This window comes from Homo sapiens, chromosome 16, assembly GCF_000001405.40.
Source record: "Homo sapiens chromosome 16, GRCh38.p14 Primary Assembly".
Classification (NCBI taxonomy): Eukaryota; Metazoa; Chordata; class Mammalia; order Primates; family Hominidae; genus Homo; species Homo sapiens.
In genome coordinates this window covers 76890483-76916194 of record NC_000016.10, presented here as the reverse complement: position 1 = coordinate 76916194, position 25712 = coordinate 76890483, and the positions used below count along the sequence as shown (strand labels likewise).

The window sequence follows — 25712 nt, the reverse complement described above, 5'->3', positions numbered from 1 at the left end:
TAGTTTACTTCTGATGCTGTTAAAGACACATTATTTATAATAAAAGCATTAGGAATACATATTAAAGTCAGATGGGCCAAATAATTGGGTTCCTAGAATCTGAGCAAATGACTCAATGAGATGTAATTCAAAACAATTCTCTCCAATATCATTATCTTAGCTTTATTTTCTACATGGCATTGGCAACAGTCAGTTAAGAACTGAACTCTGTGACAAGTGCCTGAAGTCCTAATTCCTTATCTTATTGATTATAGAAAGTACTTAAAAATCAGATGAGCTACTGGCTAGGCCAGCCTTCTGTTATTCCCATTAAGGACTCCGACTTTGTGCTTGGTAGACAAAAAACTATCTGCTCCATTTTAAAACAGAGGAGAGCTGTGAAGTGCACATGGACAGAACCTGTTTTTAATCACATTTCAGAAATGTAGTTTATTAAACATTTAGGGGAAACATGCTTAACTTTTCCCTAATATATACATACAGGGCTATACACTTCCTTTAAGCCTGGTTATAATTGCATTTCTTAGGGTTTTCAAAACAACTTTAATGAGGTAAAATTGAGATACACTAAAATGCACATCAAGTATACAATCTGATAACTCTGAATTATATTTATACCAATGGGACTATCACCACAATCAAAATAATGAACATATGTAATCTTCCCATTCGTGTTTCTAGTCTCCTTTTAATTCCTTCGTAGTAAAACTTCCCACCTTAACTCCCCATACCTCCCATCCTTGGGTAAATCTTGATCTGATTTCTGTAATTATAATTTGCATTTTCTAGAACTTTTCATAAATGAAATTATGGAGTATGTACTCTTTTCTTGGTGGGGGAAGGTTTCCATCTTCTTTTGCTCAATGCAATTATTTTGAGATTCTTCCATATCATTGCATGCATCAGTAGTTAATTCCTTCTATGGCTGAGTAGAGTGCCATTGTGTGAACATACCAAATTTTGTTTATTCATTGACCAGTTGATGGACATCTGGGCTATTTCTAGTTAAAACTACTTTGAACATTTCTGTACAAGTATTTGTATGGACGTATGCTTTTATTTTGGGTGGGGTAAATACATAAAATTGGAATGCCTAGGTTATTGGTAGGTGCATATTTACCTTTTTACGATGGTGCCTGTTTTCCAAAGTGCCTGTACCATTTTACATTACTACCATCAGAATATGAGAGTTTCAGTTGCTCAATATCCTCACCAATGCTTAACATAAAGTCTTTTTAAATCTACATATTCTAATAGGTGTACTGTAGTATCTAGTGATTTTACTTTATGTTTTCCTAAAAACTAATGACATCTGTATCAGTTTTATCCCTAAGTACTGTGAATTTTGATGTTATTAAAATATTTTTATTTATTTATTTTTGAGACACAGTCTCACTGTCGCCCAGGCTGGAGTACAGTGGCACCATCTCAGCTCACTGCAAGCTCCACCTCCTGGGTTCACGCCATTCTCCTGCCTCAGCCTCCCAAGTAGCTGGGATTACAGGCACACGCCACCACACGCAGCTAATTTTTGTATTTTTAGTAGAGACGGGGTTTCACCGTGTTAGCCAGTATGGTCTCAATCTCCTGACCTTGTAATCCACCTGCTTCGGCCTCCCAAAGTGCTGGGATTACAGGTGTGAGCCACCGTGCCTGGACCAATATTTTTATTATCAATTGTTAGTGCCTAGTAAGTAGAAAGGTGCTTTTTGTTTATTGATTTTTTAGATCAACTTTGCTAAACTTAAAGTTTTAGGAGATTTTTTATGGATTTCGTGGCATGTTCTACATAGACATGTACATTTCGGAATAATGTGTAGTATGCTATATTTGGTGTAATGGTCTATAAATGTCAATTAGGTGAAGTAGGTTAATAATGTTCAGGTCTTTTATGTCCTTCTTGAATTTCTATGTACTTTTTCTATCAATTTTTGAAAGAGTATTTAAATATTTGACTAGAACATGTGGGTTTGTCTATTTCGCTTGTAGTTCTATTAGTTTTATCTCCTTATATTATAAAGCTCTGCTATTACTTGAATTAAGGTTTAGGATTATGTGCTCTTGGTGAATTTTTTATTATGACTGCTTTATCATTATGACCCTCTGTCTCCAGGTATATACGTTCTGTAAAATCTACTTTGTCTGATATATTTTCATACTTTTAAATTATTTATATTTAATGTGGGCTTCTTGCAGGCACCCTGAAATGGAGTATTGTTGATTTTTGTCCCATCTGGAAATCTCTGTCTTCAATGGTTTAACTGTTAACATGTAATGTGATTATTGTGGTTGGGTTTAAATCCACCATCTTGCTTTTGTTTTATGTAAGTCTTACCTAGTAACTCCTTATTTTTTATTCTTTTTGTGACTTCTTTTGGATTGATTGTGTATTTCTTCCTTTCATGTTATATCCATTGTTTATGAATCATTATTTGCCTTGTTATTTTAGGGTTGCTTAGGGTAAGTAACGTGTATCTTTATCTTGAACTCTCAAGTGATATTATAGTTTTTTGAATATTATTTAGGCATATGATAGCTATACCAGTTTAGAGATAAAGAAAACTGAAACCTAGAGAAGTGAGGTGACTTGTCCACGGACAGAAACCCTGGTTGGGGGCTAAAATAGGAATTCTAGTCTACTGACTTCAGACCTGGTGTTTTTCCCACAGTGTAATGCTACGATGAGAACCAGGGTACTTTCTTTGGAGAATACCAAGTCACCAAAATTAGGAATTATACTTACAATCAACAGTGGGGAAAGAGATGACATTTTTGTTTTTCTTGTTTAGGAAAATGTAAGCTTGAAACATCCAATAGAAAATCCCTAAAAACTTCCCTGAAGACCACTTGGGTAAACATCACACATGGGAATCAATCAGGTCAACAGCAAAAGATGAATCTGTGAGCCAGCATTTCAGTCAAACCCCTGGAGGAGAATTTGGATTCCTTTGGCTCTTCGCATTAGTCACTCCAGGAGAGCAATTCACATCCCATAAATCACATTCAGACTGTGACTTGTAGGGTTGTCTAAAACTGTATTTACCCATCTTATTCCATGTGCCAGAATTAAAGAAAATCTGAGACCATCAGTGTGATAGGTATGTCTACCTGGGCCTGCTTATGTAAATAGTGAATGCAAGATGCATACATTTGTAACATGAGGATTGCATAATTGATCTGGTAATATGCTCAATTTGAGCAAACCAGATTATTTAGTTCCCTGTATCATCACAGGAATAAAGAAATGTGTCTATCAATAATATAAAGGAACATGTCAATGTTACTTTTAAACACAAGTATGGCATAAATACAAACCAATGTTGTTAAGATTCAAAATAAATGTTTGAATTACCACAGTTCTCTTAGATACACTGTCCTTTTTACAACTGCGTTTATGTCCAACTTTTTTCCCAGTATTATATATTTGTATAAGATTAAAATAAAAAGTTCTTCTAGGTATTTACATGCTATCATTTTTTCTCATTCTTATCCATGGGTATCTACTATTTAAAGCTCAATCTCTAAACCTATGAAACATAATAAGTGTAATCACTTGTTATATCTAGTCTGATTCCTGCTTTTCTCTGAAGAAAACCAACAGAATTCTTAGGCTGAAACTAAGTTTGTCAGACCTAGAATCAAATCAACTTATTTATTTTTCCAGAATCTGTTTTTATGGACTATTGATGCCAGAATACCTGAATTTCTTTCCTATATTTAGAAGAATATTATATAAAATAGCTTCAAATAGCATTTTGACTATATAATCAGAATTGTCACACTTACTTGTTAAGGCATTTGATAATATTCACTCAGCTTCTCCTAGCAGTTTACAATGTCCTGAGAGAAAGAAAAGAATAATCACAGTTCACTAGTTTTTCCTATAAATGCACAAGAATGGCTATGTGTGTGCAGGCAAGCAATCATCACAAACATAATCCACCGAAGACAATAGTAAGAAGAGATTCTGTGCTCAGTGCACACGAAAGGAAAGCGGAAAAAGGTGAACAGTGAAAATGAGAGGAGAGAAAAACAAGACCACTTTTTCCGTCTAATCACTTTTCCTGTATAGCTATGCAACTTTTTAGCCTACTTGCAATTCTTTACAGCCTTTCCTATATGATTTAATAAAAACAAGAAGTATCTCCAGCATGTAGTTGTCTATGGAGATAGATGTTTACCTGGCAGTTTCACTCTGATTTCTTTAAAAGAGACATTTTCTTAGTGCTCTTTTGCATTTCAGTTTCAGGAAATTGCCTTATTTCATGTGGCGGCTATTTGCCGTATGAGACCTGATGATAACACGATGACATGTTTTTCCCCTGCATGTCCACTGAAAGCAAATGTGATGAGTCCCATCCTGGGAAAGGCTTTGACTTCATTCCCTAAAATGTGCTTTGCACAGGCTGATCATTTGGGTGAATGATGACACAAAAATTCCATAAAAATTAAATGTTTGCTCAGGAAAAGTAAGAATGGAGAGTGAAATTTTATAAAGGATTTTAGTAAAAAACTGGTTTTGATTAATGAGATGTTTATGAATTCATTTATTCAAAAATATTTCTGAATGCCTTTCATGTTCTAGGCACTGTATTTTTCTGGTAACAAGTAAGTGAATAAAGTACATATAACCACTGCCCTGAGCTCAAAATTAAATCTAGCAGTCAGTTAATAAACAAGTAAATAAATACAAATTTAAAATTTATATTACAGTACAATTATATTTGATGAGGTTTTTTTGATAGGGTCTTGCTCTGTCTCTCAGGCTGCAGTGCAGTGTTGCAAGCACAGCTCACTGCAGCCTTGAGCTCCCAAGCTCAAGCGATCCTCCCACCTCAGCCTCCCACGTAGCTGGGACCACAGGCATGCACCAACAGGCCTGGCTACTTTTTCTTTTTTGTAGAGATGGGGTCTAGCTATCTTGGTCAGGGGCTGGGGTCAAACTTCTGTCCTCCAGCAATTCTCCCGACTCAGCCTTCCAAAGTGCTGGATTACAGTCATAAACCGCGCTTCTATTCAGAAAGTGTGGTCCTGGAAATTCCCCCAAGTGGGTTGGTATTTAAACTAGGACTCAGTGAGATGACTAAACCACCATGTGAAAATTGGGCAATATCATTCTAGGGCAAGGAAATACCATGAGCATAAATCTGGAGATAACCAAAGCTTAGCCTAAATATGGACAAGGGCCAGTGTGCTGAGAGAGAGGGAGAACTGCAGTTGGAGAATGTCATTTGGATTATGTAGAGCCTTGTAATTTATAGTAAGGTTTTTGAAATTTATACAAAACATGGATGGGTATGGAAATTATATTTCTTCATCACTAATTAGTATTTTTCCATTATTCAATACAAATTATTGAATAAAATATTATATTATTTAGTACAAACAAATAGATATTTCCTTTTATCCTGAAAAAATATGATTTCAGACCATGGAAAAGTAAGTATTGTGACAGGACTGACATGCTGAAGAATGTGGTGATGACTATGAAATGATATGGACTAAGATTAAGGAGTGGAAACAGGTTTAGATCTCGATTCATGTTTAATTTTTTAACATGATTATGTTGAACATCAATGGATTAGAAAATAAATCCTGGACTTATTAATGTATCATGATATAATGTATTACATGCTCGATGATAAAATCGTATGAGAAGCAGGATTCAGGAATTGATAATGTAGCAGAGATGGAATGGGTTTCTAATTTGGAGCTCTATACTTTGAAAAGAAGACGAAATAAGTAGAAACAAAATATTATGAATATAGCGCAACATATATGTGTCAAGAATGTTGATATGAAGAGCTGTACCATGAAATGTCTCAAATTAGGTAAAGCATTTACTAGAGTACTGAGGCGAAAGGCATGCAAGATGGGTCAATATTGTGGATAAATAAGAGTTTTCATCAAAAGCATGTTTCCAGTTATTTGTTTGCCCTCCTTTCAAAATGTTTTATTTATTTTTTAACCATTTTTCCTTCATGTCTTCCTATCCCTCAGGCTCTTTGTTTCTGAGTTCTTCCAGGAGTGTTCTAACATATCTTCACGCAGTAGTTGTTCACACAGTAGTTCGCTATTTATTATTTATTATTATTTTTGTGAGGCAGAGTCTCGCTCTGTCACCCAGGCTGGAGTGCAGTGGTGCGATCTCCGCTCACTGCAAGCTCCACCTCCCGGGTTCACGCCATTCTCCTGCCTCAGCCTCCTGAGTAGCTGGGACCACAGGAACCCGCCACCACGCCCGGCTAATTTTTTGTATTTTTAGTACAGATGGGGTTTCACCGTGTTAGCCAGGATGGCCTCGATCTCCTGACCTCATGATCTGCCCACCTCGGCCTCTCAAAGTGCTGGGATTATAGGTGTGAGCCACCGAGCCCAGCTGGTATGTCACTTCTGATATTAAGTTACAAAACATTGCACCTTCTATCTTGGTTGTTTGCTTGTTCTCTCCTGGATCACTTGCTCAGGGGAGAGTCAGCTACCATGACATGGGTAGCCCTATAAGTAGGGTCTACATAGTGAGGAACTGAGGACTCCAGCTAAGCCATATGAATGACCTTGGTAGCAGATCCCCAAACCCTAATCGAGGCTTCAGATGACCACAGTTCTGGCCACCACCTTGATGGCAACCTCATGGGAGAGCCAGAACTAGAACAACCCAGCTAAACAGCTAAACTGCTACTGGATTCTTGATTTTTATAAACTGTGTTAATTTGTAATGTTTTAAGCTGCTAATTTGGGGGAATTTTTTAGAAAACATCAATAGATAGCTCATGCAATCCCTAACATGTAGAATAATAAATAATTTTCTGTGTGTTAGAAAAGATTTCTATACCTAGAAAAGATTCTCAATAACGGCTTAAAATGTTTAATAAATAAAGTACAAACTAACTTTTTAAGCTATTCACCAAGAGCTATTTTCTTTTAGCTTAAAATATAGCTCCTCTCTCTGGAGAGCCCAAATTATGTTTAAGTATTTTTTTTTTGCAAGTTAGTAAGGATCTTCATTTGAAAGTATTCAATGCACAACTTACTTCTGATGTGAGTCCCTGACCTTCAAAATACAGATGTTGGCTGTGGGGTAAGATTTAGTTTTCAGCAGCCAGTTCTATTTTATGTAGAAGGCTATTGTGCTATTTTTGCTTACCACATATAATTTTTATTTTATTCTTAAGAAAACTAGGAAAAAATGGCTCATGAATATGTTGACTTCTAAATGCAAAATTCCTAGGTAAACATGTAAGCATAACCACAGAACTCACTGTTTGGTTTTGTCAAACATTTCTCTTTGTCTTCCATTATCTTTAAAAGTTCCTTGTCATGAGTTTTTCTGATATCAAACTTCAAATATTATGTGTACATAATCACAGTGAAATGGAGACTTTGGACATTCTGCATGTCTTAATCAACCCTTTAATTTTAATATTTAATACTGAGATAATTGATATAAATGTGTGTTTATAAGTTATCCACATAAATTAGTGTGGCAGACCCTACAGTGATCCCCAGTGATTCCCACTCCTGGATGTTTATGCCTTTACATTATCTCTTCTCCTTGAGGGCAGGCAGGGCCTGTAAGATGCTTCAAACCTATAGAGCATGGCAAACCTGATGGGCTGTCGCTCCTGTAATTACATTACAGTATCTAAGACTCTGTATTAGACAAATGGAGCTGGAGAAGTCTATATATTTCCCTGATCTATGATACTACGATATCCTTGAGGGCAGGAATATATTTGCTTTTCATTCTCTGTCTAGGACCTTTCTTCTCTTTTTTCTTCCCCACCACTTTTTCAGTTGCTATTGTCAAGTACTAAAGTTTTCTTGAGACAGGGTCTTGGTCTGGCACCCAGGCTGCAGTGTAGTGGCTCACTGTTGCCTCTACCTCTTGGACTCCAGTAATCCTCCCATTTTCAGCCTTCTGAGTAGCTGGGACCACAGGAATGTGCCACCACCCCCAGTTAATTAAAAAAAAAATTGTAAAGATGTGGTCCCACTATGTTGCCCAGGGTGGTCTTGAACTCCTGGGCTCAAGTGATTCTCCTTCTTTGACTTTCCAAAGTGTTGGGATTATAGGTGTGAGTCACAGCACCCAGCCAGGTGTTCCATTGGGTACCCCCAATAACCTTATATTTTAGGTAACATCATTGCCGATTTAGAAGCAGGGCAACTGAGGCTTAATAGATTAAACATTTGAAGCCCTTGGCATTGGAAACATAGTTGGAAAAAGACAAAAACAGACAAACACACACACACACACACACACGAAGGAAAAGAGAGGTAAGTTATTTTAAAAAAGAAAAAGATAGTGAGACCAGTGATAGTATGCAAGAGATTTTTAGGACCCTGATCTAGACTCTGTCAAGGTAATATACAAGTACCACATAATGACAGAAATACAGACTGAGGGAGGACATTGAGAGCTATGGGAAATCACAAATGGAAGTTTTTTAAGTGGAGGGCTGCATGCTAAGCTTTGATATATTAGTATGATAATACTGTAATATAGTTTGCATAGGCAGAGAGTGAGAAAGCATTCTTATACACCGGGAAAATTGGGTCGCCAGTAGTGGAAAAGTAAGTAAGTGTATTTGGGGAAAATGAAAAACAAAATAAGATAAATTCAGAAACGAAAGCAGAATAGAAAAGGGCCTGTGCATTTCTATCCTCTTGAGGTCAATATCATAACTTTAATCTCACCACCATTGTCATACCAAGTATATTAGTCTGTTTCAATTGTTAATATTGTCAAAATAACTGAGATAAATATACACTTTCTATGAGAATTACATAAAATCTTTAAAGCTCTAGTTATTCTTTTGGGTTATCTTATGTGGGCATATGCATGGCTTACTTGACTACTTAACATTTGCTTCTTGAGGGCAGGATCTATGAAGAGTTTGTATTATTAAAGTGCCTGCCACAGGCTACTAAACATGGTGAGATCTTAGTATTTGTTGAATAGTCCTGGGATTGAGGTTGAGAGGAAGTGAATTATATGAAAATGGTTGAATTAGAAATTACCTCTTGATGGGAAAAGGAAGGGAAGTGTTGAAAACACAGCTGGGGGACAGACACAAGAAATCAGGGTTATATGGGTTTCATCCTATAGTCCTGAGCCACCACTGAAAGTGTTTTTGAGCAGCAGAGTGGTAATGAACAGAACTGCTCTTTGAAAAATATAGTTATTCAGGTGGTTAAAGGAGGTAGGATGCTATAATAGCTTAGGAGGAGGTTACAAGGTCTAGTCCAAGCAGTAGGAAGAAGAAAGAGATGACAACATTAAGATCCTATGAACAAGGGTAAAGAAGTTAAATTCTAATTCCTTAAGCCTCTCTTAAGTGTGAAAATCAAGTGAGTTATTTCTGTTGTTGACATCAAGAATGAACCTCATGTTACTTTCCTTTGGTGGAACAGGTGTTGAATTTCAGTATGTTGATAAAATGTCATTGATCTTGTTTAGCCTTTCACAGTCCTTGACAGCTATTCATTTTCGGTAGAATGTAGCATGGAAGAAAGTGCTCCAATTTTGGTCAGACTACCTAGGTTCAAATCGGTGCCTTCCCACCTGTGTGACTTGAGGCTAAAAGTTAACCTCTCCAGTCTCAGCTGGTTTGAGAGCACATTAGGTTAGTGGGCAGCATGAGTATAGTATGGTCCCTTTGAGGATTGAGGGGTATCCACGAAGCACTGAGTACGTAGTAAGTGCTCATGCTCACTAACTAGGATGCCAGTTGTTATCCAGATTCATGTTTCTCAAATTCTGAGCACCACATTCAAGTGACAAACCAAGGAGCATCTCATCTCTCTTGACACAGTCGGCCTGTATGGATCATGTTCTCAAATACTGGACCTGCAATTGTTTTTACAATGGGATCTATTAAGCTCATTTTTCTAAAGAACAAAATCGGCACTGCCCATTTTCAGTGAACAAAATACAAGATTCATTTTAAACAGTCTTTGGAGTAAGAGGAAAATTTCCACAAAATGGAAACTATAAATTTAAGTGAAAGAATACACTTTGGAATTTACAATAGATGGCAGACTGTGTTCTTAGTCTTCTGAAGGTGTGAAATTACAGTTAATTGCTTTGTTCTCAATTTTAAAGAGCAAAGAGTTCATAAATAATAAGCTCAAGTAGTGGTTTGCAAAGGCTCTAAAAAAATCTCTCAATGCATTTTTCATTGCCAAAGATGTAATTCTTCTGGGTGTTGATTATTCCCACGAATTTTAAAATACTCAACAGAGTCTAACTACAGAGGAAAATTATCTCTAAATTCCATGTTAATAGAGTTGTATGTGTCAATAAGAAACCTTTGGTTTCCTGACACATGCATCCTTTAATGGGATATAATACTTCTGAGAAGTATAATGTAGGGTGCTATAATAAAATTACTAGATTATTAGAGAGATTATGAGACAGAGAATCCATTTTCTTCAGATCTTGTAGTTATTTTGTTCATTGAAAATATCAATCATTAAGTGATAACATTTCTTCAACATCCTAATTCTTCTGGGTTATAAAGTTCACCAAGAAATTTAAAATGCTTGTGTGTTTAGTATTATACTACCTTCAATAGGATAAATAGACATCATATTTGTCCCATTCCCATCAAAAATGACCACAAATTACCTCATGAAAACCCCACCTATCTGAGGTATCTGAAGTAAATATTAATTTTTTGAAAACCCCAGCACAATAAGATTAGTTGAAAATTTCAAGGCACTATATTCCTGGTCATATTGTATTATTGTTTTGTTTTATTGTCCAGGAAGGTTTTCTCTTAACAAAAACCTCCAGCTGTAACAATGTAACCAGAATCCTTTTTTTAAGTTATCATAGGTTCAGCAGACACAATAACAGTAGCAGGTAAATAATTAAGCAAAGAAACCAAATCAAGACATGGGTAGAACAGTTGTTTTCAAATGCAGCTCCCTGCTCTGTGAGTCTGTCGAAGGGGATAATAAGGTTTGTCCCACTTAAATTACTAAGAATCCCACTTTTCACTAGATTCTTCAAACCCTACAATCTCCCACACATATAATTAGAAATCAGACTGGAAAGCATGGTTCAGAAAGAAAAAACAAACAATAAATTACTTAGTCTGTTTCTTAGATTTAAGATAATTTCAACCATGTTTTTGTCTCTGGGAAATTGCAGAAGAGGAAAAAGTAAATTTTAGGTCACATTAAATATTGCAATGGCCTTACCATGGGAATGAGGATTTTGCAGAAGAAAGTGGCCAGTACTCAGGTTCTGAATATGGCATTTGTGTCCCACCTTGACCACATAGACACCTGCATCATTTGGCTTCGCTTCCTTCTTTTAATAATGTTTCCTTGATGAGGCAAATGCTTGAAAATGGTTTGTGATTTTAAAATGCTATGTAAAGTCTAACCACTCATTTTTTCTAATTTCAAAGTCTTTTAGAAGCTACCTTTTAAGCTCAAACTGAGTGTGATCCATCCTCATTTGATATTTCAATTTTAAAAGTATTAATAACACCATTGATGTAGATGTTAAAATAACACTTACGTCAAATAGCTGACATATCTGGCACAATCATGAGTCATTTCTGTTTCATTAGACTCTGTAGAAACCAGGCTTAGAAGCAGCTGCTTTTCTTTTCACTCTTAATTTCTTCTTCTTGGTTTAGTCTAAATGACCATTAGAGGATATACTGTAAAGTATACTGGAAAATTGTAAGATGGTTGTACTCCAACTTAAAGTGTCTCCATCTTATACATACAACTACAAGTTCTACCAAAAATCTTTATGAAAGAACATTCTTCAATATCATGCTAGGTTACTTCAAATTTAACTAGTTGTAATGATTCCATGACAATTAATTTTATAGGACAAAACCATGCTGTATACTTTATTTTCTTGAACCTGCATCATCTGACAATTTTTGTCTCCAAAACAATCAGACACTTCACTGTTTGCACTTGTAGGGAATAGATGACTAAAATAAGATTTGTTCTCTTTTCTGGTATTTATCAGATTCTAAGTGACAAGTTCTTATTTTCCTCCATTTTCCTGGGTTTTGAACTGTTTCCTTCATCAAAAACAAAAATAATGTCTTAAATAAAAACTTGCACTTTAAAGCTTACGAAGTTTTCCTCATAAAATACCTAAAACTATCTCATCTCCCCAAGTTATAATATATGCATATATATGAAAAAAAGTTCAAGGTCTAGAAAAAAGAAACAAGAATTGTGGAATAAATAGGATACCTTTCTGATTTCCCTGAAACCAGGAAACCTTTCTCGCTAATTTACACCAATAGGCTTGGTCCAGCTTTCCCTTCTACTCCATGCCCTATAGAGCAAGGGTGCAGCTGCAGCAGCATATAAATTATAATATGATTAAAGAAAAAAAATTGGGACACACTGTGACGTTCAGCATAAAGGGACGGAATTTCACTTGTACTTTAACAAGGTAGAAATAGTTTTGGCCTGTGGCCTCTCCACTCCTATTTTATAAAAGCCTCATGTTGAGCCACTAAGGACATAGGGAAGTTGTAACCTTTAAAAGTAAGTAGAGTTTAGTACACATTTTATACATATCTATTTATTAAAATATTTTATAAAATTAAATAAGAGAAATTGTTTTACTCACTAGGATTCACCTATGTTGACTGTGTATGTCTTTGCATTCAAAAACCTCATGATAGCTTTTATTTATTTTGAATTTCTCTTGCTTGCAGAATTTAAAAGCACATATGATACATTTAATCAGATTATTTCTAATTGGTCTGTACCAAATATTGACAAGTGGCACACCTAGCCTGTGCAGCTTCTCCAAAACTTCATTAAGGTTATCATAGATGTCCTTTGCCAAAATGATCTTGCTTGCAGATAAGACAATATTCTGATTATATTGCCTACTGTTACACAAAGGTTATTTTCTGACATAACAGTTGTTCAGATGGGGTAGTTGGCTTCAGGTCTTGGTAATGCAGCCTGTTATTGACATCTTCATAGACTTCAAAGCCTTCTGTTTCTTTACTCTGTCTTCTGTTTTTCCTAACAATTTCCCCTCATATGTTGTAGGATGGCTACACGTTCCTGGTATCACAAAGACAAGTTAACAATGACTGAAGAAGAAAGGCATTATCCTCCCTTGAAATTTTTTTAATTTAGGTTTAAATGACCTTTGCTAAAGCCAGCCCTGTGCTGCACTAGGCTGTAGCAGCTTGCACCACCTCCCAGGATACCTTAGAGAAAGCATTTGCACCTGCATCATCTCAGCATCTGCCATCCTTGCTCTAAGCAAAGGAAAAACTGAAAAAACTGTCACAGATTGGAGGATATAAAAACTAATTGAATATGCAATTGTGGATTGGATCCTAAGACAAAAAAGTACACTAGTGGAAAAACTTGAAATGTAGAGGTGTATTCTTTAATAGTATTGGAAAATTAAAGTATTGTAATTTGGTTAATACTGTTATATGGGCATTAATTTCTTGGTTGGTTTTGATCATTGTGCTTACAGTTATGTAAAAAGTTAATATAAATGGGAGCTGGGTGAAAGGTCTATAAGAATTCTTGTTATTTTTAATTTGTGATTTTGGAGAAAATATTATGTCAGGGGTCTACAAAATATTGCCTCTGGGCCAAATCCCACACTCAACCTGTTTTTTTGTAAATGAAGTTTTATTGGAACACAGTTACATCTGTTCATTTGCATATTGCCCATGGCTACATTTGTGCCACAGTGACAGAGTTGAATAGTGGCAACAGAGAACCCAAAATATTGACTACCTGGCTCTTTACAGAGAAAATTTGGCAACCCCTGTATTATATCATGCGTAAAAAGCCTATGCATTGCCTTGCTTCTCTAAAGTGGGAGTCAGGCTGTGCCAGCGGGAAAGAAAAGTCTCCGATGACTTTGAATTCATGGCTCTGTGCCACCTTCTGTTTCTTAAATGCATAGAACCTTCTCAGTCTTTGCCATAAGTGACCTGGCTGGGTAACATTGACTTTACCACACCTCCAGCTCATGGATCTCCTCCTGACCTTCCACTTGCTCTTCCTAGTTTCCGGGACAGGACCCCTTTCCACTGCCCATTTTTTAAAGGCCAGTGTCCCTCAGGGTTCTCTCCAAGTCCGTCTCTTTGACTGGTCCCCAGCTAGTACTTCTTAACTGGAGTCTCATCAGAATCACAATCACAGGGATTTGCTGATAAAAACTATAGTTAAGTAAAAGTGTCTAACAAACCAATTGCCCATGTTTCTCCAGGAATATCATCACTTCCATTTACCACTATCCTAACATCACTTAAACTTGTCTTTCCTGCCCACAACTCCAATATACAACAAGCTTTTCCTTTTCAACGAAACATGTTTCAGATGCACTTTACCAGCACTTCTCAGAAACATGAATTTGCTTTCATGTTTCCCACTTGAACAAATGGTATCATTAAAAACCTATGGAGCGTCCCAAGCCTGTAATTCATTCTTAATTCGTCTTTCTTCTTTACCTCCAGATTACATGAATTATTGAGACCCGCTCCTTCTATCTGCTAAACGCATTTTCTTTTCTCTATCAAACTGGTCCTTGACTTAGTCTAGGCCACTCTTATCTCTTACTTGATCTGGAAAAGCCTCTTAATTTGAGCTCTTGGCTTCCAATATACTTCTTTCTGAGAAATAATGTCTTTACATGAAATCTATAGAGAATTTTGAAAAATCTATACCAGATCTGTCACTCCTCTGTCTAAAACTCTACAAGGAAATACTCTTTGACCCTGAGAGAATTATTTAATGTGGTTTACATATTATACACGTTTACAAGACCTACATGTGCCAGCCTCTGTTTAAGTCTCCAGAATCATCTCTCCCCATACCCTTCTCCCCGCAACATTCTAAACCTTACAACATGAATCTTAAATTTTTAGCTGAGCCTCACTCCACACAGAGGCATTTTTGTCTCTGAATGGACCACTTCTCCTCATCTCTTCATCTCATTAACTTCTACTGGATCTTCAGATCTAGGCAAGTGTGTCATCCCCATTGGAAGCCTTCTCTGATTCCTCTGTGGTAGCCCCTATGTTTCCCTAGCCCAGCACTGATCATTCCATGGTAGAATTTCTTGCTTAATCATCTCTACTCCCCATCAGACCTTAGGATTCATGTTGGCCAGGCTGTAATATGTGTCTGGCATAGAGTAGTCAGACAGACAAACAAGAAATAAAAGAAGAAAATGGTCTTATTCTTTGTCTTGTTTTATCCAGAACATGCTTCTTTCTCTCCTTGCTGTTCTCACTTTTAGCTCTGCTTTTAACACTATCTAATTAATCCCTTCTTTTCTGTTCTACTCAGATATTTGCATTTTCACAATGAACACTTGAGGACCAAAAGCTTTTAATAACACCTAGATTAATATGTTGGGGAATTCCAGAGCTTGCATACTAAGGTCACATACTAAGATAGGAAACATTTACCAGTCCACTCGGAATGTATCCTCCAGGTGGCTGGCTGTTGGTAAGGCCACGCTTGATACAAGTTCTTTTTTTTTTCTCCTAAAATGCAAATTAAGTACCACAAGTAGCTCAATTTTTATTGCTTGATACTATCAACTAATTTATTAATTCCTTCAGTTCATTTAACAACTTCATATTTAGAATCACTTTGTGCTAAGCTACATGTTTGAAACTTAGAACGTGAAGTTGAAAAAAGAAACAGCAAACTCAGACTTCGGCCTTAAGTTAATAAGCTACTAGAATGACAAATATAGAAAACAAAATTCCAATACAATCACATAATTGCTACAATGGATCACTGCACAGAGCACAGGAGGAGCATATGGTAGGAGCGTCTGTTAGAAGTGCAGGAAGAGGAGGAGAGTGCTAGTTCTATGCATATTAAATTATGAAAACATCAATTTTTGAAACCGGATAAGTATTTGAGGTCATCTGGTGTATCCTTCCTACATTAAATTCACACTTTTTTTAATTAATGAAAAATATGTGTCTAGGGAGATTATATGGTTGTCTAAGATTGCCAAACAGTGTCAGAATCATAATTACCACACAGGCTACCTCTCCACAAAATCAAGTTTTAAATTTAAAAAAAAAAAAAGTTTTCCTGATCTTTAATTTGTCTTAGGAGTCATATCTTTGCAAACTGCCAAGCTTTAAAAATCTTCCATTTGTATTCATGGAAAAAAAAAAAAAGTCAAGGCTGTTTGTGCAGTCAAGGGCAATTTACTCTTCCTTTCTACAAGTGAGTTAACAGACCAGAGAAACTGGCCTTAAGCACTGTGCAAAAAGAAGAAAATGTTAGGATTTCAGCCCAGTGTGCCAGAGAGATCTAGAAATCTCAAAAGAAGAGTTCAGGTAGCTTTCTTATGCTTGTCAGGATAATTGATGCCCATATAATTAGGAGGCTGGTTGGAAATTTTACTTCTGGATTACATTAGGCATATACAGCTAACTATATATACTGTTAGATATATAATTGTACGTATTATACAAAATTATACATGGCATTAATTAAAATATTCTTTTTTTATTCTGTCTAATTAAAACACAGATGTTTATCCAAATTGTTGTTGTAGTTCTGAAAGTATAATGCCTGAAGAAAACACAGGTTGAGGAAACAACACAACGTAATGCACGCGTTCTGTCCAGGTAATCATGTCCAGTCAGGGTGCCCGTGCTTAAGAAGCATTGCCACACAGAGGTCCACGTAGCCATCTTGCGATTTAGCATCCTGAAGATATTAACATGACTTTCTTCCACATATTTGAAGTGTTGACTTCTTCCACGAAGGACTTCTAAAAGGACATGTCATTCATTTCTCTAGTACAGAAATTTTCAATTTTGCACAAAGCAAAGTGAGGAGGAGGATGCAGCCTAAGAGCGTAACTATCTGCACTCACATCTCATAGAACACTCCGGAAAATGCGGGTATTTCAGTAGAAAGGTCAGGCGTCTTAGAGAATACCAGTGTGCGATGTAAACAAGGATATGGATCCACATGGACGTTTAAGCCTTCTCTATTCTGCTACCCTATTTATTTGTTGCTTATATATATTTCTATTTCAAGAAATGTGAAATGTTTATGGCACATTATTTTAAGACCATTCGATAAAGCCAGAATTCCACCATCACCACCCCCCACATATACACAGGATTCCGGGCAGGAGAAAAAGTGAGAATTGGATTGAAAGGTGAAACAGGCCTGCTCGTCTTCTGCAAAGTCTGTGTTTTGGGTTGCAAGTAAAGATCCTATAAAGGAAATCTGTGCTTATCACCTCCTCTCTCTGGCTGAGTCGTTATTAATATAGTTGCAGTCCTTTTGTGTTAGGATTTTACCCTGTAATATCATAATGTTTGGCAATAGAGAACCTGCCACTTTACATTGGTGCATTTTTTTTTTTTTTTTTTTTTTTTGAGACAGTCTCACTGTCACCCAGGCTGGAGTGCAATGGCATGATCTCGGCTCACTGCAACCTCTGCCTCCTGGGTTCAAGCAATTCTCTTGTCTTAGCCTCCCCAAGTAGCTGAGATTACAGGGGCACATTGCCACTCTGGTCTAATTTTTGTATTTTTAGTAGAGACAGGGTTTTGCCATGCTGGTCAGGCTGGTCTTGAACTCCTGAACTCAGGTGATCTGCCTGCCTCGGCCTCCCAAAAGTGCTGGGATTACAGGTGTGAGCCATGGCACCCAGCCACATTGGTGCATCTTAAAGCTATCCTTAATGCCAATTTATTGACAGGGCTGCCATGGGCTGTGGCTATGGGTTAGACTGGGGAGAGTATTTTGAGGATTGATCTGTGGTAAGGGTTTTTGCCAGAAAGAGAGGCAATGGAAACAAGCCCTTTATTGGAGGGACACTTGAAATCTCTAAGAAGAATTTGCTTGCATCCCAGGGTATTTCAGAGCTGACACCAGCTTCAGTTACCTTGAAAACTGCCCACATGACTTCTGTGTCACTCTGTCATGATTTCCTATTGTTCAATAAATAATAGTGTGAGACTTCACTGAAGGGCATCTGTGCTTTGAATGAAAAGTCCTCCAATGTGTAAGGGAAGCAACATCAGCTTCTTTGAAACCCTCCTTGCAAAAAGTTGGTCTATAGACATTTTTATTTTAGAATTAGAAAGCAGCCTGAGAGATCTGCAGTAGAAGAATAGAGTTTGCACTTGGAGAATCATAGTTAAATTCCAGTTTTGCCACTTACTGGGAACATGACTAAGGGTGTGTTATGTTACTACACCTATAAGCCTGTTAGCTCTGTTTTTTTTTTTTTCTTTTTCCAAATAGCCCTTTTGGTTTACAATTACTATATAATTCATTCATTCAAAATGTGCAATTTGATGTTTTTTAGGAATATTCGCAAGGTTATACAACCATCACCACTATCTTAAAATATTTTGTCTCCGCTTCCCAAAAAAACAAAACAAAACAAAACAAAAAACCAGGCCCATTCCATTCCCTCCACCCCAAGCCAACAGACAATCACTAACTGAATTTCTAGATCTATAGATCTACAGATTTGTCTATTCTGGACACTTCATACAAATGGAATCAAATAATATGTGACACTTTGAGACTGACTTCTTTCACTTAGCATGTTTTCAGGGTTAATCCATGTGGTTGCATGTGTTAGTACTTACTTTTCTTGCTGAATGATATTGTGTTGTATGGATAGATCTCATGTTGCTTATCTACCCGTCAGTTAATGGACATTTAAGCTGTCTCCACTTTTTGGTTATTACAGATAATGCTGCTATGAACATTTGTGTGACATTTTTTGTATGGAATATGTTTGTAATTCTTTTGCGTATATACCTAGGAGTGAAACTGCTAGTTTCACATTTCGAGGGACTGCCAAACTGTTTTCTGAAGTTTCAGAATTTTACATTTCCACCAGCAAGGAATGAGGGGCTCCAATTTCTCCACACCCTTGACAATATTTGTTACTGTCTGATTTGTTTAACTGTAGTTGTGTTAATGGGTGTGAAGTGGTCTCTCATAATCTTTTAGTAGTCTTGATTTGCATTTTCCTAATGACAGACGATATTTAGCATTTTACCATGTGCTTATCAACTATGCATATATCATTTTTGGATAAATGTCTATTCAGATGATTTGTCTATTGTAATTGCATTATTTTGCCTCTTATTGAGTTATAATAGCTTATTATATATTCCTCATATAAAATCCTTTATGTCTCATATACATAATTTATAAACATTTTCTCCCATTCTGCCAGTAGTCTTCACTTCACTTCCCTGTTTCATTTTCTTGATAATGTTTCAGAGGACATTTAATACATATAATTTTATAAATATACAAAAATACATTATACAAATATGAATAAGTATATAAATATATTGCAGACTATATAGTTTTATATATTTCAATTTATCATTTATTTTGTTTCTAGTGCTTATTGAAAGTTATTGAAGTTTCCAACTATTACTGTTGAATTATCTATTTATTCCTTTAATTCTACCAATTATAACTGTTTCATCTTCCTGATGGAGCGACTTACTGTAAAATGCCCCTTTTGATCTCTAGTAAGATTTTTTGCTTTGCCTGATATTGGTATAGCAACCGTAGCTCTTTCGTGAATGCTATTTGCATGGTATGGTATAGCTTGTTTCAACTTTCTACTTTCAGCCATTTGTATCTTTGAGTATAAAATATGGCTCCTGTAGGCAGCATATGGTTGGTGATAATTAAAAGGACCCTTGCTTTTATTTAATATAAAATGATAATCTGTTTTTTATTGCGTTTTACTGTTATATTGTATGGTTACATTTATATCTGAAATGTTGCTTTTTGTTTTCTACGTGTCTCATTTTTAGAAAAATCCCTGTTCATTCATAATTGTCAAGTTGACTGTTTTTTTTATATATATATTTATTATACTTTAAGTTCTAGGTACATGTGTACAATGTGCAGGTTTGTTACATATGTATACACGTGCCATGTTGGTGTGCTGCACCCATTAAGTCGTCATTTACACTAGGTATATCTCCTAACGCTATCCCTCCCCTCTCCCCCGACCCACAACAGGCCCCGGTGTGTGATGTTCCCCTTTCTGTGTAGCATAACATTTTAATTTTAAAAATGTTTAAAAATAATTCGGGGTTATTTTACTAGTGGCTGTTCTAGGGCTTACAATATACATCTTTTAACAAAATCTACTTCATATGTATACTAAATTAATTGCAGGGATGGCTCTATTCTTTTTTTTGTGCTATTACCTGTGCCATTATATCTATATATGTTACAAACCCAACAATACATTTTGATAGTTATTACTATAGTTATAGTTATTGGATGCATTTTAAAGGAGCTGAGGGGAAAAACAGAGTATAATATATACACAGAGTTTGTTCTATAAACCTTATTTACTTTTTCCAGTTCTGTTCATTTATTCATGGATTTGAGTTATCTTCTTGCGTAATTTTCTTATTCCAATGAAGCTTTTCTCCAACTTGTCTCATTTTGGTCATTGTCAAATATATTACATTTTTTTAAGTTAGAGGGTCATACTATAGTCATATACATATACCGACACATAGTCAGTACATAGATAACATATATAAATTATTTTATGCAATTACTTTTTAAATAAGTTAAATGAAAAAAGAAGAAATATACAATTAAACCATCATTTATAGTTACCTTTGCTGGCAATCTTTAATTTTTTGTATAGATGAGAATTATTTTCTGGTGTCCCTCCTTTTAGATTGACATAGTTCCTTACATATTACTTGAAAGGCAGGTCTGATAGCAACGCATTCTGCTTTCATTTATCTGGGAAGAGTTTTTTGTCTTTTTTGAAAGGTAGTTTTGCCAAAATAACACTTTTGGTTGGGAGGTTTTCTTTTTTGTTTTTGCTTTTTACTTTCAGCACTTTGAATACGACTTCCTTCCATCTAGTCCCACAATAGGGGCCATCCCACTACTTTCTGGCCCCCATTGTCTCTGATGAGAAATCAGCTGTTAAGCTTGTTAGGTATACCTTGTCTGTGATGAGTTTAAGATTTTCTTTATCTTTTCATCACTGACTACAATGTGTTTCAATGTACTACTTTGTGTTTATACTACTTCGATTTTGTGGAGCTTCTTGGATGTGCAGATTAGTGTTTTCTCATCAAATTAGGGAAGTTTTCAGCCATTCATTCTTCAAATATTTTTTTCTGTCCCTTCTTTTCTCATTCTGGCATTCTCATTATGCATATATTGGTATGCTTAATGGTATCCCCACATTTCTCTGAGGCTCCATTCATTTGTCTGTTTTCTCTCTGTACTTCAAATTGCTGAAACATTATTAATTTGTCTTCAAGTTGACTGGTTCGTCCTCTGCCAGCACAAATTTACTGTTGAATACTAGTTGAATATTACAAGTGAATTTTTTATGTCAATTGTACTTTTCATGCCAGAATTTGTATTTGGTTATTTTTCAAAGAATGATGCTTTCACTTCAATAATATTTTCTATTTTGGTGGCATTGTAACCATAGTTCTTTCCTTCTTTAAATGTGGTTTTATTTTTTACATATATTCATAATAGCTACTTTGAAGTCTTTGCTACATTGACAGTGTGGGTCCCTTCAAAGGCTGTTTTTATTGCCTCTTTATTTCCTGCATATAGGCCACTTTTTCCTATTTATTTGCATGTCTCATACTTTTTTCTTGAAAACTTGACATTTTAAATAACATGTAGCAGTAACTTCAGATAGCAACCCTACTCCACCCCTAATAGTTGTTCTTGTTGCTTGCTCTTTTTTTTGTTTATTGGCTTACAAACTTGGCTTAATTCTGGGAAGTCTGTTTTCCCCACAGTCTGCAACCTGTCATGTCCTTGCAGAGACTGTTTTACTCCCTTGTTATCATCCTTCATCCCAGCTACTTAGGCTTATCCTGGGTAGAATAAGCCAATACTGGTCCAATGCCATGCTTAAATATTCTTTGCCAATTAGATATTTTTTACCTTTATCATTAGATGTGTCTATAGCTTTGAGGCTGCTATTGTAGTTAAGAGTGTTTACATATTTTGCCTCATCTTTATTCAGGAACTGTGATGAGTCTATGTGTAGCTTAAGGAATGCTTTCAAGACCTCCCCACACCCTGTTCTGATTACTTCTGAGTGTAGTCTAGTACAGGTGCATACTCTTCCCAAGCTCAATAATTGAAGTGATCCCAAGATCTTGGATGTCTTTTTTCTGGGCTCTGTGTTTTAAAGTTCTAGCTGCTCTGCCACTTTTATTGTATTATGGAGTTACCACGTTTTTATAAACTGTGCTCTACCAAGATCTCCATTGTTTCTGACAAAGTTCTTTGGCAGGAAGTTCTCCATGAATGATTCTAAATAAAGTCAGTCCCCTCAGGCTTGCATAGGTCTTGGTTTATGGCCTACCTTTCACTTTTGACAGAACCTCTAGTCATTGTACTAGAGCTAGGGGTGGGGAACTGCTTTTCCCGATGATGGTAGCTTATGGTCTTCCTGGCTTGCCCCTTCGGAAATGGAATATTTGCCCTAGGAGTGAGATAAAATGAGGATGACTGGGGCCCCAGCATTCTTGGCCTGCAGGGCCTAGAGTTAAGCTTCCACCCTCTGGGAGTGAGGGGGTTGACAAGTGAAGGGAGATTGGTCCTCTCTTTCTCACCTAGAATAGAGACTCTGCAACATGGGATTAAAGTGAGGTGAGAAACACTGAGATCCTGCTCTCCCAATGGTGAGGTCTGGTTCTGTATCCCCAGAAGGCAGATGCGGGAAGAACGAGCTTTATTTTTGGCCACTGTTGTCCAGAGTACAGTACCACAGTTGAGATGGTGGGGAGCACATCATGACTCACATGCCACAGACTCACTGTTCTTACTGAGACTTAGCAGACTTCCTTGAAAGCATGTCTCTCTTTACTGTATACCCTTAGGACAATTTTAACAACTTTTACAATTAATTCTCACCATAAAATTGTTTTACTGAGGAAAGGTTTGCTGAGCTACTTACCCTACCATCCTTGAAGTTTTAACTCCTCTTGAATCCATTAGCTTTATCATAATGTAGGAATAATGACATTTTACTCAGAGTATTTTTAAGAATTAAATTAAATCATATATGGTCAATATTAGCAATAATTTGCATATAATGCTCAGAAAAAATATCATTTGCTCTCTCTAGGCTATAAAGTTGGCTACAGTGGTTAACCTATGGATGTTATATGCTCAATGAACAAAGATCTGTTGCAGAATTTATATATGTATATTACATATAATTCACAAATCAACATATCATTCATTTGTATATGTATATATTGTATATATTGCATTAGGTTGTTCTTGCATTCCTATAAATATCTGAGACTGGATAATTTATAAAGAAAAGAGGTTTAATTGGCTCACAGTTCTAGAGACTGTACAGGCAGCATGGTGCTGGCATCTGCCTGGCTTCTAGAGTGGCCTCAGGAAACTCAACAGTCATTGCGGAAGGTGAAGGGAAAGCACATACATCACATAGCCAGAGCAGGAACAAGAGAGAGGGGCAGAGGAGGTGCTGCACACTTTCCACAGCCAGGTCTCATGGGAACTCTCACAAGAACAGCACCGAGGGGATGGTGCTAAACTATTCATGAAGGATTCACTCCCACGGTCCAACCACCTCTTACCTGGCTCCACCTCCAACACTGGAGATTACAATTTGACACGAGACTTGGGCAGGGACACAGATCCAAACCATAGCATACAGCTATGTATATAATCAAAACTAGAAAGCAGTGGTACAGTTTGTTTTTAGAACCCACGTAAGCTTTTCTTTCCTCCTCTCATCGATCCTAAAGAGTCAAATCAATAGGCGCTCTCTCTATATATCTATATACACTTTTTTCCTCCATGTATATATTTTTTAACTCAACATACAAATGGAGAAAAACATTGGAAGGAACCAATGCCTATTTAATATTGCTGAGGATATTAATGCCTTTAATGATTGTAAATTTAGATCTGATTAATTTGGATTTTCCTACAATTTTACACTCATCTAGTAAAAGGGTTCTGTCCTTGTTCTTGACACAACTAACAAAATCCAAATCATGTTAGGTTGTTTCTGAGAATGGGCCCACTGAGCTTTCTTTGCTTGACTCCTTTATCATCTGCCTCCTAAATGGAGTCTTTGATGCTCAATAAAACAATCTTATTGAATTTTGCTTTGCATCTTTTATGTATAAAAGTAAATTTGTTTGAAAAATATGACAATAGTGATTTTAAAAAATATTTGATACCTTCTTACAAATACATCTCAAATGATTGGAGCTGGGTCTTTTATATGTCTCAGTGTGCCATCTAAGTATCAACATTGTATGTGGATGTAAAGTATCAACATAGCATAGCTTTCTGGTAAAAAGAGAAAAATTCCCAACTGAACACCATCCAACTATACCGTTACCAACAAGTCATCCAAAAACAGGCCCAAATCCTTGTATCTATCACTGATTACATGAATCTGTTCTTATAGTATTACAACAGAAAGTCTGGTCAAGAATAGAAGAAATGACACATAAACAAGAAAATAAACATTGATAAGGTTTTGGTTAGAGGAAGCAAAATACCAATATACAAGATGAAATTATCCTTACAGGCACAGATATTTTCACATCATTCTGTCAGAAAAATAAGAGCACATGCTTCAGCTAAGTCTTTGGAGGATCCAGAGAGAAATATTGATGCAAAGAACAAACCACGTATACATAATACTCCTTCAAAACTGATGCAGATGACGTTTAAACACCAATGGGTAAAAATGTCATGTCATTCATATGAAGCTCTTATATTGTTTGCATTGTACTTTTTTGTGAGCCTTGTCATGTTCTCAAATAAGGTAGCCTTTTCAGGAAGACCAGATATATCTTGCATAGCAACAAGAGCTAATGTTGCCAAACTCACTTGAAAGTTGATGTGCAAGTGAAGAACAGGTGTGCCGGTTCCTTTACTCCAAAAATAAAGACAAATAATGCTTCTAGCTTGTCAGCATTTCAAGCTGACTAGAAGAATTGTTTCATTCTTCATATATAAAGAGACATGTAATTGATAGTTACATACACATATGGTTATAGTCACATATATATGATACTGTTTAATATTTATGATGTTGCTTTATATACATGATATACATATATAATATATATGATATATGTGATGAGAAGACAGTTACTTAAGGAAACACTCAGATGGTATTGTATTGCTTATAATACAATGGATAAATGCTTCAGGTAATGGATATCCCATTTACCCTGATATGATTATTACACGTTGCATGCCTGTATCAAAATATCTAATGTAATCCATAAATATATACACCTACTATGTACCCACAAAAATTAGAAAGAAAACACTTAGAAAATTATGTTCAGGTTATTTTTAATGATGGATTCTTTTCTTCTTCCCACTGATCATACTTAAAAATTAGAGCAATTAGGTTAGAAGGATAGCAAAACTAAGAAACTATGGAAAATATTAACTGGAAAGAAAACTAAAGACAAAACTAGACACAGATTTTTAAGTGTGTTTTACATCTTGAACAAGTTCTAATCTTTTAATTTACAAACGAAAGTGACTCAGGACAACTTACAGCAATAGAGTTTAAATTTAACATTTAATATTTGTGGATACTCATATGTGTAGCATCTGTTGTGTTTGTGGTCTGCATGTGTCTTAATTTTGTGTTATGAATATGTGTGAGTGTA

The 25712-nt window shown here is 36.0% G+C and overlaps 1 pseudogene, besides 1 other annotated feature; it reads left to right on the top strand.

The window, feature by feature from the left end:
- LOC100128497 (mitotic spindle assembly checkpoint protein MAD2A-like) overlaps window positions 1–25712 on the top strand; it is a 50279-nt pseudogene that overhangs the window by 11891 nt on the left and 12676 nt on the right.
- Window positions 15167–15336: an enhancer, noted in NCBI's record as "experimental_44811 CRE fragment used in MPRA reporter constructs". NCBI's record gives its function as "activates a minimal promoter by MPRAs in K562 erythroleukemia cells, with activity observed for both the introgressed and non-introgressed 16:76934841 variant alleles {active_cell/tissue: K562}" and the evidence as "EXISTENCE:reporter gene assay evidence [ECO:0000049][PMID:34662402]".